This window comes from Homo sapiens, chromosome 12 (genome assembly GCF_000001405.40).
Source record: "Homo sapiens chromosome 12, GRCh38.p14 Primary Assembly".
Taxonomy (NCBI): Eukaryota; Metazoa; Chordata; class Mammalia; order Primates; family Hominidae; genus Homo; species Homo sapiens.
In genome coordinates this window covers 70,511,433-70,529,149 of record NC_000012.12, presented here as the reverse complement: position 1 = coordinate 70,529,149, position 17,717 = coordinate 70,511,433, and the positions used below count along the sequence as shown (strand labels likewise).

Below are 17,717 nucleotides of genomic sequence, written 5' to 3'. Positions count from 1 at the left end.
ATAGTTCCTCAGCTTGCCTTCTTAATGTTTGAGTTCCCCAAGGTTTTGTCCTCAAGGCACCACCCTTTCTCTCAGTCTTCATTCTTTGTGATATTCTCCATTCCTGTACATGCTCATGTTACCCAAATCTAATCTCCTGCCTCCGCATACATGTAAATGCCCGCCTACCAGATGGATCCCCCCAAAAGCCTTATAGCCATCTAACTTCAAAAAGATCAAAGTCAAACTCATTCTCTTTCAAAACAGAAAACAACAACAAAAACCTTCCTCCTGCTTTTGCACCTTCCAGTTTCATTTAATAGTATTGCCATCCATGTGTTTGCCCAAGCCAGGGAGCTGACTTCTTATATTTTTTAAGGGATGCAGTCTCATTATGTTGCCCAGACTGGACTCAAACTCTGTGCTCAAGCAATCTTCTACAGATGTGCACCACCACACCTGGCATGCTTACATGCATGGATATGTGCATTTATTTATTATTTCTATTTTTTGTTTGTTTATTTACGTGGGGAGATAAGATCTCACTATGTTCACCAGGCTAGACTCAAACTCCTGGGCTCAATGGAGTGGATTTCTTTTCCTCCAGTTCCCACATCCAAGCAGTCACGAAGTCCTTTCCTTCCCTTGGAGCTAGCCCCTCATCCCACTGCCACTGCCCTTGATCAACTCTCATTAGCCCTGCTAATGAGTAGCCTCCTAATGGGTCTCCTGCCTCCAGCTCTGCCCTAATGATCCTTCGCCACCACTGCCACCATCAAAGTTCCCTTGCTGACTCTGCCAGCTCCCTGCAAAAAAATCGTGAAAAGCTCACCACTGCTTGTAAAATGAAGTTCAAACCTCATCCTGGGTACAAGCTTCTTTATAACCTGGCCCCTACTTACTCCTCCAGCTTCATGTCATCGTACTAGCCACCACCAGTGTTTAGGGTCTGCCAGATTAAGGAAGGTTTACCCACCTGGGCCAGAATCCACTTTCAGTCTTTCCATCATAATGAAATAAACATTGCAGTAAGATAAAATTTTCTCTCTCCCTTTTTTCTCAAACAAAATTCCAAATGCTATCCAGGTATTAGGTTGGTGCAAAAGTAGTCACGGTTTTTGCCATTACTTTTAATGGCATTAATTGCATTTTAATGGCATTTAAATGCATTACTTTTAATGGCAAAAACCGTGATTACTTTTGCATCAACCTAGTATCATCTGCCTTGCTTTAAGCCTCTGCTGAAGTTGAGTTGTTTCTACAGGCTCAGAAACCCTGGTGCTAGAGCTGGCATTTGGTAATGGGAGTGGGTGCAGAGGGGTGTGATCTGTGGCTGAGCCCCTGTGGGTGACTATTTCAGCAAAAGACAGAGGACATTTGGACCCCTTGTATTATTTTTCTGGGTCCATGGTGACAGTGAACTTCAACTTACCTCTGTCTTTATTTGAGATACAAAGGGATGCAGGTCTTCACAAGTTTCCAAACAGCAAGCATTTCTAAACAAAGAGGCATTGGTCAGGGGATTTGTGAGTGTCCCTTCTTCTTTTATGCTGCTTTGAGGGAAATTTGCAGCCTGACCCTGAGAGACACATTAAGGGAGCAATAACCTGTTAAAGAACAATAGATGATAGTCACAGTCTCAATCATCTCATTTGCTTCTCCTGGGAAGGAAACACTGAGATGTTGTAGGACTAAGGACCTCAGGTTGCATTTGGGGCATTGTTCGAGGGGTTTCCCATGACCCATGCAACCAGCATTTTAGCTGCACTAGACTTCTCATGGTTTCCAGAATATATGTGAAATTGTATGTTATGTTGCCTTACTTCTTTGCTTGAATTCTTATAAATATCACCTTTTCTCTTTAGCTTGATAGTTTCCTTCCCTCAAAGTGAGCCTAATGGCTTTCTCTCCTGTATGAAACCTTATACACAATTGTATCTGATGTTTAGCATCTTATAGGTATTTGTTCACTAAATACTAAGCCATGCACTCAGGGATCACAAAGAGACTGTAATACTATAAATAATATCTAATACTCCAAATATTGATGAAATTGAATGGAACTGAATGTGTGAACACTAAGCCAAGCCTTCACCAGTTAACAAAAAATTATCTTTTGTGATCTGAGATTCATATATTTTGTCTACTTTTCATTAAGAATAAAGTGAGAAGCACATTAACAATCTCACCGTTTTAGTAGTAATCATTTTCAAAGGGACGTTCTATTGGGAAAGGAAGAATTTGTATTTAAGGCAAGGCAAATTAATAGATATTAACTTGTTTCAAAGCCCACGGTGAATCATTGTTAAAGAATTTATTAATAGGCCATAGCACAGATGCACTAGAGTTCATTCACAGCTTACCTCTAAAGTCCCAAAGTAATGTAATATCCCAGTAGAACTGAAAAGATGAATTATGCTTTGGGTGGGAGGAAACAGGGAGGTGTCAGCCTATAATTTGGTGGATCCTTTTTAAGGTAGCAAAAAGAGACTGCTTTATACTAACAACCATTCTCAGATTGTACCTTTCTCAGATTTTCAAGATTGAGATTGCATGTAACATTCATAATAAATGACAAAGGTCTGTGAGCAGAAAAGCAGAGAATAGTTATCAATATTATTGCAGGCCTCACTTCTTATTGATTTGTTTAAAATGTCCTTTTCTAGGCTGGGTACAGTGGCACACACCTGTAATCCTAGCAGTGTGGGAGGCCAAGGCAGGAGGATGGCTTGAGGCCAGGAGTTTCAGACCAGCCTGGGCAACAGAGCAAGATCCTGTCGCTAAAAAAATTTTTTTTTAATTTATCCAGGCCTGATGGTCCATACCTATAATCCCAACTACTCAGGAGACTGAGGTGTGAGAATCACTTAAGACCAGGAGTTCAAAGCTGCAGTGAGCTATGATTGTGTCACTGTACTCCAGCTTAGGCGACAGAACAAGACCCTGTTTCTTAAAAAATAAATAAATTAATTAAATTAAATGTTCTTATCTATTGATTATACCAGACCTACCTTATATAGTCCCATGGATAGCTGGCCAAGCTAGGTTCCAATCAGGGACAGTATCTAGTGCCAACCCATAAAAATAAGTACCTGTTTACTTGGAAAGATTGTTAGTGAGGAAAGAGCTAATTGTTCTACTTTGTATCTCAAACCTCTAAAATACTTTTAAGACTGACTACACTGATTGCCTTAAACACAAGGTCTGGAAATATTTTTCAATATCTATCTGTCTGACATCAATCTATATCCTTTAATAGACAAAGGATGTTAGCTATAAAAGAGACCTTTGCCTCCTTGTTTAATAAGTGGGGAAACTGGGATCCCCAGAAGCCTGATGGCTCAGCCTGGCCTGGCTGGAGGCTGCTGAGAGCCCAGTCTCCTTCACTGCTCACAACTCCCTCTGAGCAGTTGCTCAGCAAGGGAAGTTATCAGCAAGGGAAGGTTCCGCAGAAATCAATTTCCTTATAAGAGAACTCACGGAGTATAAGGAAGGGGGCCCAATGCACAAGCTTGGCTGCCTGTGGCTGAGACACAGTGGCAGTGGAGGTCTTTATGGTCACCAAAGCACTGACTCTTCTATATCTATTTATATTTCAAAAGTAGTAAATTCTTAAATAGCCAACAGATGGGTCTGTCCTCGCTATGTAACCCTTGTAGTTCTCTGCAGTTAGCCAACATCTTTGAGATTCTTCCACGTGGCAGACCCAGATGCTGAGAGAACAGAGGTGGATAAGACACTGACCTTGCACTCAAAGAACTAACAGTCCAGCGGGGCTTATTGTACACACCTCCTTTTTTTCACTATCTTCCTAGAATAAAGGGAACAAACCAGCAGAGTATGCAGTGAAATGATTTTCTCATTCAGTAATGCAATGAAATTGGGATTCATCTAAGAAAACTGGTGTAGTGAAAAAGACATGAACTTTGAGGTCACATCTCCAAGATCAAACCCTAGGGCCCCATTTCTTAGCTGTGTGACCTTGGAGAAGTTACTTTTGAGTCTCACTTTGTACTGATAATTGTATTTACTTCACAAGGTTTTTGAAATCATTAAATGAGGTAATTTACGTAAGCTACATAGGAGTGTCCGGCATTTGTTCATCTACTCAATTTGTAAAGGACCTACTACGTACTAGACACAGTTGTAGGCTCTCACAGAATATTTTATATATATATATACACACACACACACACACATATATACACATACATATATACACATATATATACATACATATACACACATATATACATACATATATACACATATATACACATATATACATATATACACACATATATACACACATATACACACATATATACACACATATATGCACACACACATATATATATAAAAAGAATGAAAAATGCCACCTCTCTGCCCATTACCATTGTTCTCTTTTCAGTGGTAATAAAAGACAGTCACTCTTTTATTTACCAGAGACCATTAGTGAAGCGATGTTCAAGAAATTTGCTAACTATATAATCCCATCATTGTCAACAGTTTGTGAGTTTCTCATCTTTCTTATGCATGAGAACAGGCCCTCCTCTGACATGTTTCTGCTTTTCCACAGTGTCAGTATGTCTACCTACATCAGTGTGTAAGAGATGTCCTCAGAGCAAGAAAGCTACGGAGTGAACAAGAAAACCCCTTGTTTCCAATCTATGAAAATGTGAATCCAGAGTATCACAGAGGTGGGCACTTACTTCACTTACTTCCCCAAGTTTCTTCATCAAGATATGGTCAATCTGGCCAGGCATAGAGGCTTACACCTGTAATCCCAGCACTTTGGGAGGCTGAGGCAGGAGGATCACTTGAGCCTAAGAGTTTGAAACCAGCCTGGGCAACATAGGGAGATCCTATCTCTACAAAAAACTAAAAAAAAAAAAAATAGCCAGACATCATGGTGCATGCCCGTAGTCCCAATTACTTGGGAGGCTGAGGGGGAGGATCACTTGGGCTTGGGAGGTCAAGGCTACAGTGAGCTGAGATCGTACCACTGCACTCCAGCCTGGGTGACAAAGCAAGATCCTGCCTCTAAGAAAAAAGAAAGAAAGAAAAGATTCTAGCTGAGTGCAGTGGCTCATGCCTGTAATACCAGCACTTTGGGAGGCCAAGGCGGGCAGATCACCTCGAGACCAGCCTGGCCAACATGATGAAACCCCATCTCTACTAAAAGTACAAAAGAGCCAGGCATGGTGGCTCACGCCTGTAATCCCAGCTACTCGGGAGGCTGAGGCAGAACTGCTTGAACCTGGGAGGTAGAAGTTGCAGTGGGCCGAGATCCCACCACTGCACTCCAGACTGGGCAACAAGAGCGAGACTCTGTCTCAAAAAAAAGAAAAGAAAAGAAGAGGAGAGGGGAGGGGAGAAGAAAAGAGAAAAAAGAAAAAGATTCTGGAAACCATTAATAACCTAAAGCTCTTCCAATGTACACCACCCATTTCTTCTCCTACCCATAAAGAGTGGCAACGGGGAAGAGAGGGAGGGTAGGGAGGGGGTTCCTGCAGCTGAGCAGCAGTTTCACAAGGTATCTCTTCCAGCCTAGCTGAGGATGCCTGCTATGAAGGACTCTGCTTAACCTTTCTTTTCCAAGCAATAAGCTTTACTACTTGGGGAGGATTCTTTGAAATCACAACTAGTTCAAATTGTAAAATCCCTTTGGAAAATAATTTGTCAATCAAGGTATCAGGGTCCTTCATATGTTCTTATCTTGTGACCCTGTATTTCTCCTACCACACTATATACAAAACAAAAAAAAAATTATGCATGAAGCTTTTTGTAGCTAAAAGTTTGACAAGCCTGGGCAGCAAAGTGAGACCCCTTCTCTACAATAAATTTAAAAATTAACCAGGCATGGTGTGCACCTGTAGTCCCAGCTACTTGGGAGGCTGAGGCAGGAGAATCACTTGAGCCCAGGAGTTGAAGGCTACAGTGAGCTGTAATTGTGCCACTGCACTCCACCTGGGTGATAGAGCAAGATTGTATCTCAAAAAACAAACAGGTTGGGCATAGTGGCTCAAGACTGTAATCCCAGCACTTTGGGAGGCCAAGGTGGGTGATCAGCTGAGGTCAGGAGCTCAAGACCAGCCTGGCCAACATGACGAAACCCCATCTCTACTAAAAATACAAAAATTAGCCGGGCATGGTGACGTGTGCCTGTAGTTCCAGCTACTTGGGAGGCTGAGGCAGGAGAACTGCTTGAACCCGAGAGGCGAAGGTTGCAGTGAGCCAAGATCATGCCACTGCACTCCAGCATGGGCCACAAAGCAAGAGTCCATCTCAAAAAAAAAAAAAAAAAGAAAAAACAAACAAAAGAATGCTATTTTTGAGGATGTTATAATAGCTAAATAAAGAAAAGCAGGATGTAAAACAAAAACAACGCATAAGGAAAAAGACTGGAGAAAATATAAATTTCCCTGAACATTAGAAAAATTATTATTTTTCCTTCTATTTTTTTGTATTTTATAAATGTTCTAGAATAAGCACATAACACTTTTCAAGTGGGAAATTCAATAGAAAAAAAACACAAACCTTACAAGGCACAGTTCTGGTCAAGCAATAATTAAATGACTAGAAGGGTCCTCCTGCGTCGTCTTACTCTGGGCCATCGTGAAGACCTAAGTTATCACATAGGCAAACTGCAAATGTGAAGGAGGATTGTATTAGTTATCTATTACTGCCTAACAAATTACCCCAACATTTAGCAGTTTAAATCAGCATTTATTGTCTCACTGGTGGCTCTGGCCCAGAGTCTTTCAGGAGGTTGCAGTCAAGACTTAGACTGGGGCTGCCATTATCTGAAGGTTTGACTGGGGCTGGAGGACTCGCTTCATAATGGCTTGTTCACATGGCTGTGGGCAGATGCAGCCACAATTCCTTGCCATGTGGACTGGTATCTCTCTATAAATCAGATAATCTTTCTTTGACAAACATTATTTCATACCCTCTTATCTCCATTCTAAATGATCTTCAACAGGTAGTGTCTCCTAACCTTTTACTTAGTTCTCTCTACCACCCAGCCTAGCCAGTATGTTAATGAGTTAGCATCTGTAAAGCACAAATAAAGAGCTACTATTTAGAGGAGTCCTTTGTAAATCAGATAATTATTTTGTATTATGAATAATTACAAATTACACCCTAATTGATCTGTATAGTAAATTAAGGTTTTTGCATGGGAGATTCCTTAAGAGGCTTCAGTATGAGCAAGTTCTGAGGGATCTTGGAGGTTCCTTTGTCTTGTTTTGACTTAAGAATCTTTTTTTAGAGTAATCTTGAGCACTCCTGAAAGAAGCTAACTATGGTATAGAAAAGGATAACCACCACGTAGCTGAAGGCTAAGATTCAGGTCCGAACTCTCGAACTAACTAGCTGTAACAAGCTGTGTAACCCTGAGTAAGTTACTCTGCCTCTCTGGGCCTATGGCTTCATCCATAAAAACAGAGGCGATGGGCTAGAATCACTAGTCCCTTCCAAGTCTAATAATCTGTCTTTCTAAATGGAATTACCTGGTCCCAATAGGAATGGTCTCATCTTAAACTAGGTTGAGCTATATGTTTCTGCTGGTCTTTCACATTGGTAATTTTCATAAACAGCGTAAACAATTATGACACACCCTGCGGCAGTCTCTAATTACAGTGTTCTTCCTTTCAGATCCAGTCTATTCAAGGCATTGAGAATGTACCTGAAGAGCTCCTGGATAAAAATTATTCACTGTGTGATTTGTTTTTAAAAACTTGCTTCATGCCCTACAGAGGTGCCAGCTATTTCTGTTGATACTATGTATAATTTATTAATCTGGAGAATGTTTAAAATTTTATATAATTTAAAGGTAACAGATATTATTGTACATAGTTGTATTTTGTAGTTTCTTCTGTAAATATGTATTTTTCATAATGTTTAATATTAAGCTTTATATAATACTATTTTTCCACACTAAAGTGTTCATGACTTGTTCTACATAAAACTAATTCAACCTGTATGACAGGACTACTGGTAAAATGCATATGGAGGTGGTGGCAGAGACAATCCTTCAGGCCATGTTTTCTACCTGTTTTGATATTCACTGGACAGGAAAAAGGGCAGGGCTAGAGAGAGCAAATACTATGGCTAGATTTGCTGCATTGCTGTCCCATGAATCTCGAGAGCCAACAGACATGTCCTAACTTGCTATTAGGACAAATGTGACAGTCAAAAAAAGGATTAGAGGGAGGGAGAAAAAAGAATTAAGCAGTACCAAAGCTGAACTAGATGCTTGTGTCTGAACTAGTTGCTCTCTCTCTCCTTTCTCCTTCCAGGGATTCAAGCCAAAGTGGTCAGCTCAGGGATCATGTAACTTGCAGTGCAAGCCCAGGATGGTAGGATGCAGGGTTGAGGGTTCTGATAGAGAATGATTCCAAACAGAAGTGATGAATTCCTTTTGTTAATAAGATGCCAGCTATACCCAGACTGGAAACATAACATGCAAAGCACTATCTACAGTGATTAGAGATCCTTTCATTGCATTCATGGTGTGGAGTGTGAACATCCACACCCATACTGTAATGTATTTATACACACTAGTTTCTGTCTCATTTTCAGTGGTCTCCATTCCTAGAAAAGTCACAATTATCCATTCCTACTTGATTTCCCATTAAAAGAATATTATGGTAGCAGATTGTGCCCCTCATTAAAAGGCTTAATGCCAACATTTTCATAGAAATGACTACAAACATCATATATAGTAAATTTAAAAACAATAGCAAAAACAAAAACAGTGGTCTTCAGTAAAATTTTCAAAACTTCTTTTAGTAAATCAATGAAGTCAAAATGTCAAGTAATCACCCAAAGTTGCATTTAATAACAAAAGGCACTACATACTGTACCAAGTTTATCTTCAATATTTGTGCCTTACTTACTTTGACTATAACAAATTCCAATGAGTCAGAAAGTATTTCCTTCATCAAGGTCCAGTTCCGACAGCATTCCTGGGAAAAATTTGAAAGGAGTTTGTACGGAATCTTCATAGATACCTGAGAAGATGAGCTGGAGATGTTTGCCTTTTTCACACTACAAATTTTTCTGTAATAAACTTGGGAATTAGAGGTCAAGTTTGTTGATGGCATAGCTTCCTTTGCATAAAGAGTATATTTCTTTTCAAAGTATATATTTTTGTAACCTACCATAAAGTCCGTAAGTGAATACAACGAATGTAATTGACATAATAATTGAAAATCATTGACTATACCTAAAATAGTTCTTTATAATTAAATAACTCTACACCCAATCTGGAAATTTTTCCAAGGTTATTTGAAGTTTACAAAAATGTGAAGCATAATCATAAGCTTCAAAGATTCACAGTTTCATTGTGCTCAATGCTCTTGTGAAATGACAGTCTTAAGCTCTGATTCTGTATCAAGGAACTAAGTGAATCTTCTGGAAATGAAAAGGAACAACATATGTGTAAGTGCAGTAGATGTACCACCAGCGAGAAAATAGAGGTCAGAGATCTACAACGTGTGGCATCCATTAGAAATCACCTTTCCTACATTGAAAAGAAAAAAGAGAAAAAGCAGAATTTTACACTAATGTTGCTTGATGCAAAGCACATTAATGCTTGGAAGGATACATTCATTTTCGACTTTTCATTCACTCAGAAAACTTCTAGTAAGTATCTGCAACCTGCTAGGCACTGTTCCAGAATCTACACATTTCTACTCACATAAAGAGAATCCTCATAAAGTTAGGATTGTTGTTACTACCTTCAATTGAGCTTAAAAGACAGCCTCATCAAGGGAATGGGATAACTGAGCCAGTCTAGGACAGTGGTCACCTTCCACAGGCCACACACTGGAAAGTGCTAATGCTACTTTAATAGCAAACCTCTGGATCTAGGAGAGAGAGCAATTAATTGCACAAACCAGGAGTTAAAACCATAAAAAAAACCTATGCATCTGTAATAGTAAATAACACTCACGTACTCTGGCAACATCTAGGGTAGTATCAGAATTATGTAAATGGACATGACAGGGAAAAATCGTAGGTTTTTTTAGTCTAATCCAACCCAGGAAATGTTTATTCCTACCCTACACCTAATTTTAAACCTTCTTAGCAACAAATATTTCACTATTCGCTCCTACTCCTGGGAAGACTAAATATATAATTGACTTATTTATTAAATTTAGGAGAAAAAAAAAGTTTTCCTTGACATTCAGCTCTATTGGATTTATTTCCATTTAATTGCATCATGTGTTATGTCTTGGTAAACACTCCATTTCCTGTCTTGGTGGGCATCCTGTCTGTGTACCTGTGCAGTACACTTTAATCATCAAGACTTCAAAGTGCTTTTGAGCTATCAAATCTTGGGAGAGTCCCATCTAGCATCTTAATAATTATTTTTCCAAGTTCGTTATAATTAACTCCTTTAACCTCATCTCATTAAATCAATTTTGTATTGTCATTCTGTTGTTCTCTGGAAAGCAGCCAATTGTTCAGCTCTTGAATCAGAATTTTCAAAGACTCACCTCTCTTACCTGGGCTTGCACATATTTGTCCTAAGTAATTCTCTATCCCTTAAACCTCTGAGTCCCTCTGTTTTATTACTTGCCCCACTCCTCCTACTTGAATATGTTTGTTTTCCCAGTTGAATGTGATTTTTATCTACTGTTCATATTATCTTTTATACCCATGAGTATAATTTCATAGTCCTTTCAGGTTCCACATCATCAAAGAGATGACCATAATTTCACTTTTTTTTGAAATGAAGTCTTGCTCTGTTGCCCAGGCTGGAGTGCAGTGGCACAATCTCAGCTCACTACAACCTCCGCCTCCCAGGTTCAAGCGATTCTGCCTTAGCCTCCCAAGTAGCTGGAATTACAGGTGCCTGCCACCATGTCTGGCTAATTTTTGTGTTTTTAGTAGAGATGGGGTTTCACCATGTTGGCCAGGCTGGTCTTGAACTCGTGACCTTAGGTGATCCACCCACCTCAACCTCCCAAAGTGCTAGGATTACAAGAGTGAGCCACCGCACCTGGCCAATTCACTTTTAAATACTAAAAGGCACACAGCACACAGACATTTTCGGGGCAGTTTTCTTTGGGAGGGTCTTTGATAAATTTTGTAATCACCTCTCGGAAGAAAGCCCAAAATGACATGTGAAAATAATATTAAACCATTTACCAGATGTCCAGCAATATAAAAATAGACCTCACATGCTACCCTTCACATGCTGATTCTCTTGCCTTGCTGTTTAAGGATCCAGTTTCTTATGTTAAACATTTTCCTTACCTTTTGCAATAATATTATTGGCCATATACTAAATTCTCATTCACTTAGCTTTCTAAGAATTCTTTGAGGTTGGAATCCTGAAATCATAAAGCTACCAGATCTGCACAACAGCAGTGGTAGTATCTGAGCCCAAACTCTGAGACGCTCTAGAGTTTTAGTTTACAAACATGAGCCAGACCAAACCTGACCTGGTGAAAATCAATAGGTAATAAACTGCTTGTATATGATAGCAGTTCAAGGGCTTTCTGGGTTCCATTTCACTGAGGAAATGAAAATATAACTGATTAGCCAAGACAGAGTGGCAATAAGGAATAACTGATCCTCCTCCAAGTTGCAGTGAGCAAGCCCTCAAGCCTACCTCATTCCTGAAGAGTTGAAGGAGAAAATGCCGTGCTAATTTTCTGCCCTGCTATTTTTAACCTGAAATTTAGAATTACATCAGGTATTCAAAGAATGTTCCCTATCAAAGGAAAATCTGTAAACGATGACTGCAAAAAGCAAGTGAAATGATGCAAAGAGAAAATATTTGCAAAACAGAATCTAACCAGACATCATCATGAAGATAAAATGGCATCTCTTCTGTGTGGCCTGGGTGTGCTTGGACAATCCTGTCACACGTTTCTATTAGGACATGTTGCCCTTTTGAGGATTCACTCTATGTTGGCCAGATGGTTTAACTGATTAAACAATTGAATCAATTTATTTTGCTTTTTGAATTGACCAGATATTTAACTAAATGTACTGGGTTTGGCATTTTAGACACACTGCCTTAGATTCTTGTAGTGCATGATGACTTTGAAAATGTTTGGCCATTTTAGTTAAAATGCAGGGTAACATTTGATGCAGCCATGATAACAGGAAAAATCTGTTCTGTTCTAAAAATGTTTCTAGCAATAGAAGTATTTCTGGCTAAGAGAATACTCTTGACTTGTAGGGAGGCTCCCTCGGAATAAATGTATGCAACACAAATAAGGCATTTTATTTTTTAAAAGATTGTCTATATAAGATACACTTATTAAATAAAGAAATTGTTGGTGAATGCTCTGAAAATAGAGGCTTATGTAATGGAAATAAGAGATTAACAGGTTTACCAAAGATTATTTTTATAACCTCTATGCCAATTCACATGATCTTATATAAGACACCAAAATAAGTTATTCAAAACTGTGAATAATGTCAGACAAATGCAATGTGTCCCTTCTAGAACAGTCACAAAAAGAATTGGTTATAGCTATTTTAATAAATAATATCCTCACCCCAAGAACAAACGTTCAGTTATGCTGAGATGTTCTAATAGCTGTGTGCGTAGATAAGCACCTCCATCAAGAAAGGAACACATGAAATTGTGGCTTTAAGAGTTTGTGGCAGAGTTGGACAGCATTCCATCTGCAGGTTAGTAGGAAAGCCTGTACCAGCCTTTGTGGAATGTCCTAGTCTGCCACACTGACAAGAGGGTGCACCAGTGCTCTACTGGAAGAGTATTTCTGGTTTTCTATGCAGGACTATTGGGCTTATAAATTCCTCAAGAACAAGGACCAAGTCTTTAATCTCGTCTCGACTCCTACCTTGTGGAAATTAGTGCACAGCTCATAGACATTCTACACACACTTCTTGAAATTGCTCCTGGCCTGATATTTTGGATGTTAGGTAGTCAGTGTCCAATAATACTGTTGTCCGTGCAGGTTAATCTAGCCATTCCTTCATTTGTGTGAAGCATAAATAATGTAAGTAAATACAGCAACTGAACTTTTTATGTTCTATAATAGAGCACTTTTATGTTTTTAATATCATTTATTATTTCTCTGAAAATCCAGTTAAGATGGCAGATGATTCTATTTTTTCATATTATAGCATCTACCCACAATATTTCTAACTAACTGTATTTGAACAAAGAACTTCCTTAGTCTTTCAATTTAAATTATGTATTTGCTTAATACATTTTTATATTTGTAACTGTGGTAAAAAAAAAATCTATATAGCATCTTGCATACATTCTCACTAGTACAGGAATAAAACTGCAGTTTGTTGAAGGAGAGTGCTCTGTCTTCTATTCACCTGCTCCTCATTTATCAATTTTTGTCATCTGTCTGTTCAGGAGAAAGGCCAAAAGTGACTGCTTTAAAATGAGAAAAATCTTCCAGGACATTATCATGAAGAATATAGTTGTCTTAACCTTTAGTCCTGTAAGTACTGAGTTGGTTACCTACAGTATTGTGTACATAATAATAGACTCTCCAGCTGACCGTCTCCAACTAAATTCCTGTTTTCAGTTCTTTACTTCATTAATAACCAAAATGTCATCTGTTACCAACAGTGTTGGTGTACTCTCAGAGGTACTGCCCTGGCTAGATTTCCACTGAGCCCTTCAGAGACACTTCACACATTTGCGGACAGTGTGGCATTTGGTAAAGAGACGCCATGACTATTTCCAGAGTTATGAGTTTGCCCTTTTGCCTTTTTCATATTTTAGTGGAAAGATCACTGTCCTTCACAACTCCAATATTTCATTTTTCTATAACTTGTTCACAGAAACCTTTATTTTTTTAAAAAATGTACAGTAGCAGATTTACAAATAAAATCATTAAATCAAAGTAATCCTTCCTTTTAAAACAGTTTCTGGACTCAAAGAAGTAGGTTAACAAAATAAATTCATCTATGAAGCTAGATTTTTTTTCCAAAGTAGCTATTTGACAGAATTTATTCTTAAAGAAAAAGAGGGTATTGCAATTTGAACTAATCACTTGGTAATTTTGCTGATAAATCTTCCATAATCATAAAATATTAGAGCTGGAAGGGCCAACTTGGGACCAAGAATGTAGGAAACCAAGACACAAGTTTAAAAGCAATACAGCAAATAAAATAAAATATAAAAATAAAAATAATACAGCAAAATAAGACAATGCTGAAATCAAACCTGGTTTTCCTGTTACTCAGGGGGAGGACCTGTTCATATGTAAATACAGACAAATAAAAATGCTGCTCATTGCCAGCACAGTGGCTCACACTTGTAATCCCAGTGCTTTGGGAGGCTGAAGCATGAGGATCACTCGAGGCCAGGAGTTTAAGAAAGGTGCTCAGAAGCCAATGTACACAATAGCTACTTCCAACACTAAGGCAGAACTGTCAGTGGAACCTTCAATGTTTTGCATGGTTAATCCTCTTTTTTTGGTATCTCATATGTCTGGAAACACCCATGTATTAAACAAATCTCAGGCTGTATTTAAGAGTCATACCTGAACAAAAGTCATCACAGTCTGAAATCTGAAATAATATTACATATAAAAGGAAAAGGCAGGATTTTTCTAACACAATATTATTATAAAACATTATTGAAACTAATTGTATCAAACCTTCTAGAATCCAGAAGTTTCTACAGCTAGATTTTCAGAGACCTGGCAAGACTTTTGATGCTGCTGATGAAAGGAGCATTCATAATAGAAGAGTAAAAATTAACTGGTAGAATCCAAGCCTGAATAGTAAGAGAAAACCACGCAGGGATGGTTCTGTATAGAAGTTAACCAACATTTACCTCCTCCCAAAGGAGGTAACAAACCCCAAAGGCCGTGCTCACTAAAATATCTCCCAATCCAGTATTTTCCAAGGAAAATTTTACTATTATAATAGAGAACTGCTGATATGAATGAAGCTTGCTTTTTTTCTAGGATTTGTTGTGACAATAACTTCTCCTTTGACCAAAACTTTAGTTAGGTTCCTCAGTGTCCTCTGCCTGACTAGGCCCATCCTTGGGCTTCCCTCTCTGTCCTTGTAGACTCCAGTTTAAAGTCAGGTTAGTGAAAATCCCCCAACCGAGGTACCTGACCACCCTTGATATCTTATCACCCTGGCCTGCCTTCAGCAGGAATTCCCTTTACCCCTGATGTTTCCTCCTCTTAGTGAGTTTTCATTCACTGACCTCCCATCCTGCTCCTGCTTTAAATAGGAAAGCTTAATTTTCCTTTTTAATTTAATCCCCACTTGTCCTTGCTGAAGTTGAAGATGAGTCCAATTTCTCTCCCCTACTGCAAAACCCCATTGCAGATGTCCTTATACTTACTACTACGGCCCCTCTTAAATAAAGCCTGCCTTGCTGTCTTTAACAAGTGTCATGAATAATTTTTCTTCAACAATTTTAATGATGCAACAACCTTTGTGTAAATTATCTTAATATAAAAGTACTTTCCTCTTTGGCCCCTGGAAGAAACTTGGCATCTATTTACATCTTAAGAAAGAATTGGCAATGAAATATGTTTCCTATCTCTATTATCCTGCTGCAAACCACTGGTGGCCAAGAAGTTTCTGTATCTTAGGGCTTGCCAAAGAGTTACAGTAAACAACAACAACAAAAAAAATCACAGAAGCTGACAATACAACCATAGAAACAAAGTGCAATAAGAGTGGAGAAGTTCAGAAGCCAGGGAATATTTCTAAGTCTATGCTTTAATCAGATAATACTATTTGTAAGACATATAAATTTAAACATTTTAAGACTTTTTTTTTTTCCTAAAGAACTTTGCAATGACCACTAACTTAGTCGTCACCCAAGTTGACGTTTCTCCCTGACTCAGAACAGATAGCAGGGGGAGGAAACAACTGTCTACCTGCAAAGAATAACACATCAGCAATAAAGAAAGATGAGCCAGGACAAAAGGGGAAATAAAACGAATGGTCCTACCTTGTTGTTCAGGCTTTAGTGGAGGACTATGAGGAGAAGACAACTGGGGAGTAAAATTAAAGGTGAGAGTCAGGTCTGAAAGAGCTATTAGGAGTCTTAGACCTCTTGTAATAGCAGAGGATTTTCAAATTCAACCCAAGAGGAAGACATTCCAAGACCTGTTTAAGGGGACCAGAAGTTCAACCTCTAGGATGGTCATTAAAAGCTGTAACATTTAAAGCAAGGGTCCCCAACCCCCAGGCGACAGATAGGTACTGGTCTGTGGCCTGTTAGAAACCCAGGTTGCACAGCAGGAGGTGAGCAATGGGTGAGAGAGCATTACCACCTGAGCTCCACCTCCTGTCAGATAAGCAGTAGCATTAGATTCTCAAAGGACTGCGAACCCTGTTATGAACTGCATATGTGAGGGATCTAGGCTGAGCACTCCTTATGAGAATCTAGCACCTGATGATCTGAGGTGGAACAGTTTCATCCTGAAACCATCCCCCTCCTTCCACCACCCCCCAAGTCCATAGAAAAATTTTCTTCCACAAAACTGGTCCCTGGTGCCAAAAAGGTTGGGGACCACTGATTTAGACAGAGCTTTTTACTTTTAAATGGCACCCAAGGTACTTGGCGAAATAATCTGTACAGCAAAATCCTGTGACACGAGATTACCTGGATAACAAACCTGAACCAAAAATAAGTTTAAAAATAATAATAAGGCCAGGCATGGTGGCTCACACCTGTAATCCCAGAATTTTGGGAGGATGAGGTGGGTGGATCACGAGGTCAGGAGATCAAGACCATCCTGGCCAACATGGTGAAACCCCATCTCTACTAAAAATACAAAAATTAGCTGGGCATGGTGATGGGTGCCTGTAGTCCCAGCTACTCAGGAGGCTGAGGCAGGAGAATCGCTTGAAACCGCGAGTCAGAGGTTGCAGTGAGCCAAGATCGTGCCACTGCACTCCAGCCTGGGCGACAGAACAGGACTCTGTCTAAAAATAATAATAATAATAATAATAATAATAATAAATAAAAGGCACCTGAGGCTATTTTTGAGTGCCTTCAACTTCCATACAATACAGATTAATATCCTCACTTTACAAATACAGAGGTAGATGCACAGAAAAGACTGGAGAGTGGCCCAAAATTTAGCAGAATAGGAACAATGGCTAATGCACATTATGCACTAATTGTGTGCCAAATGTTCTATATGTCTCATCTAATTCAACTCTTTATACAACTCTTGTTGTTATACCTATTTGGAGACAAAGAAATTGAAGCTTAAAAAGACAAGGTAGGCCTGGTGCGGTGGCTCATGCCTGTAATCCCAGCACTTTGGGAGGCTGAGGCAGGTGGATCATGAGGTCAGGAGATCGAGACCATCCTGGCGAACACGGTGAAACCCTGTCTCTACTAAAAATACAAAAAAGTAGCTGGACGTGGTGGCATGCACTTGTAATCCCAGCTACTCGGGAGGCTGAGGCAGGAGAATCACTTGAACCTGGGAGGCAGAGGTTGCAGTGAGCCGAGATCACGCCACTGCACTCCAGCCTAGGTAACAGAGTGAGACTCCATCTCAAAAAAAAAAGACAAGGTAATTTTCCCAAGGCCATCTAGTATTAAAGCTCAGCTTCCAATATGAATCCTTCTGATTTCAAAATGTGACCTCTTAACCTCTATGCCCACGTAGCTCAAAGTTTGGTCCCCAGACCAGCAGCATCAGCATCACCTGGGATGTTGTTAGAAATGCATATTCTTAGATAGCACTCTCCAGTCCTACTGAATATGAAAATCTGGGGATGGGGCC

The 17,717-nt window shown here is 39.3% G+C and overlaps 1 protein-coding gene and 1 long non-coding RNA gene across 11 annotated transcripts in view; one reads left to right on the top strand and one right to left on the bottom strand.

Moving 5' to 3' along the window:
• The window catches only part of PTPRB (protein tyrosine phosphatase receptor type B), a 121,560-nt gene extending 108,280 nt beyond the window's left edge, over positions 1-13,280 (top strand). For 5 of the 9 annotated variants that reach the window (NM_001330204.2, NM_001109754.4, NM_001206971.3 and 2 more), the window contains 2 exons: positions 4,559-4,679; positions 7,639-13,280. In NM_001330204.2, coding sequence (NP_001317133.1) covers positions 4,559-4,679; positions 7,639-7,661 — 144 coding nt within the window. In that variant the 3' untranslated portion in view covers positions 7,662-13,280. Of the gene's footprint in view, positions 1-4,558; positions 4,862-7,638 lie in introns of those variants that run through there. The other 4 variants (XM_011538614.2, XM_006719528.2, XM_006719529.5 and 1 more) reach the window with 1 other exon arrangement.
• The window catches only part of PTPRB-AS1 (PTPRB antisense RNA 1), a 103,372-nt gene that overhangs the window by 42,301 nt on the left and 43,354 nt on the right, over positions 1-17,717 (bottom strand). The window contains exons 4-6 of one of the 2 annotated variants that reach the window (XR_001749196.2): positions 6,520-15,965; positions 3,724-3,790; positions 1,412-1,475 (exon numbers count right to left, since the gene is read on the bottom strand). This is a non-coding gene — a long non-coding RNA (PTPRB antisense RNA 1). The remainder of the gene's footprint in view (positions 1-1,411; positions 1,476-3,723; positions 3,791-6,519; positions 15,966-17,717) is intronic. The other variant, XR_007063360.1, reaches the window with a different exon arrangement.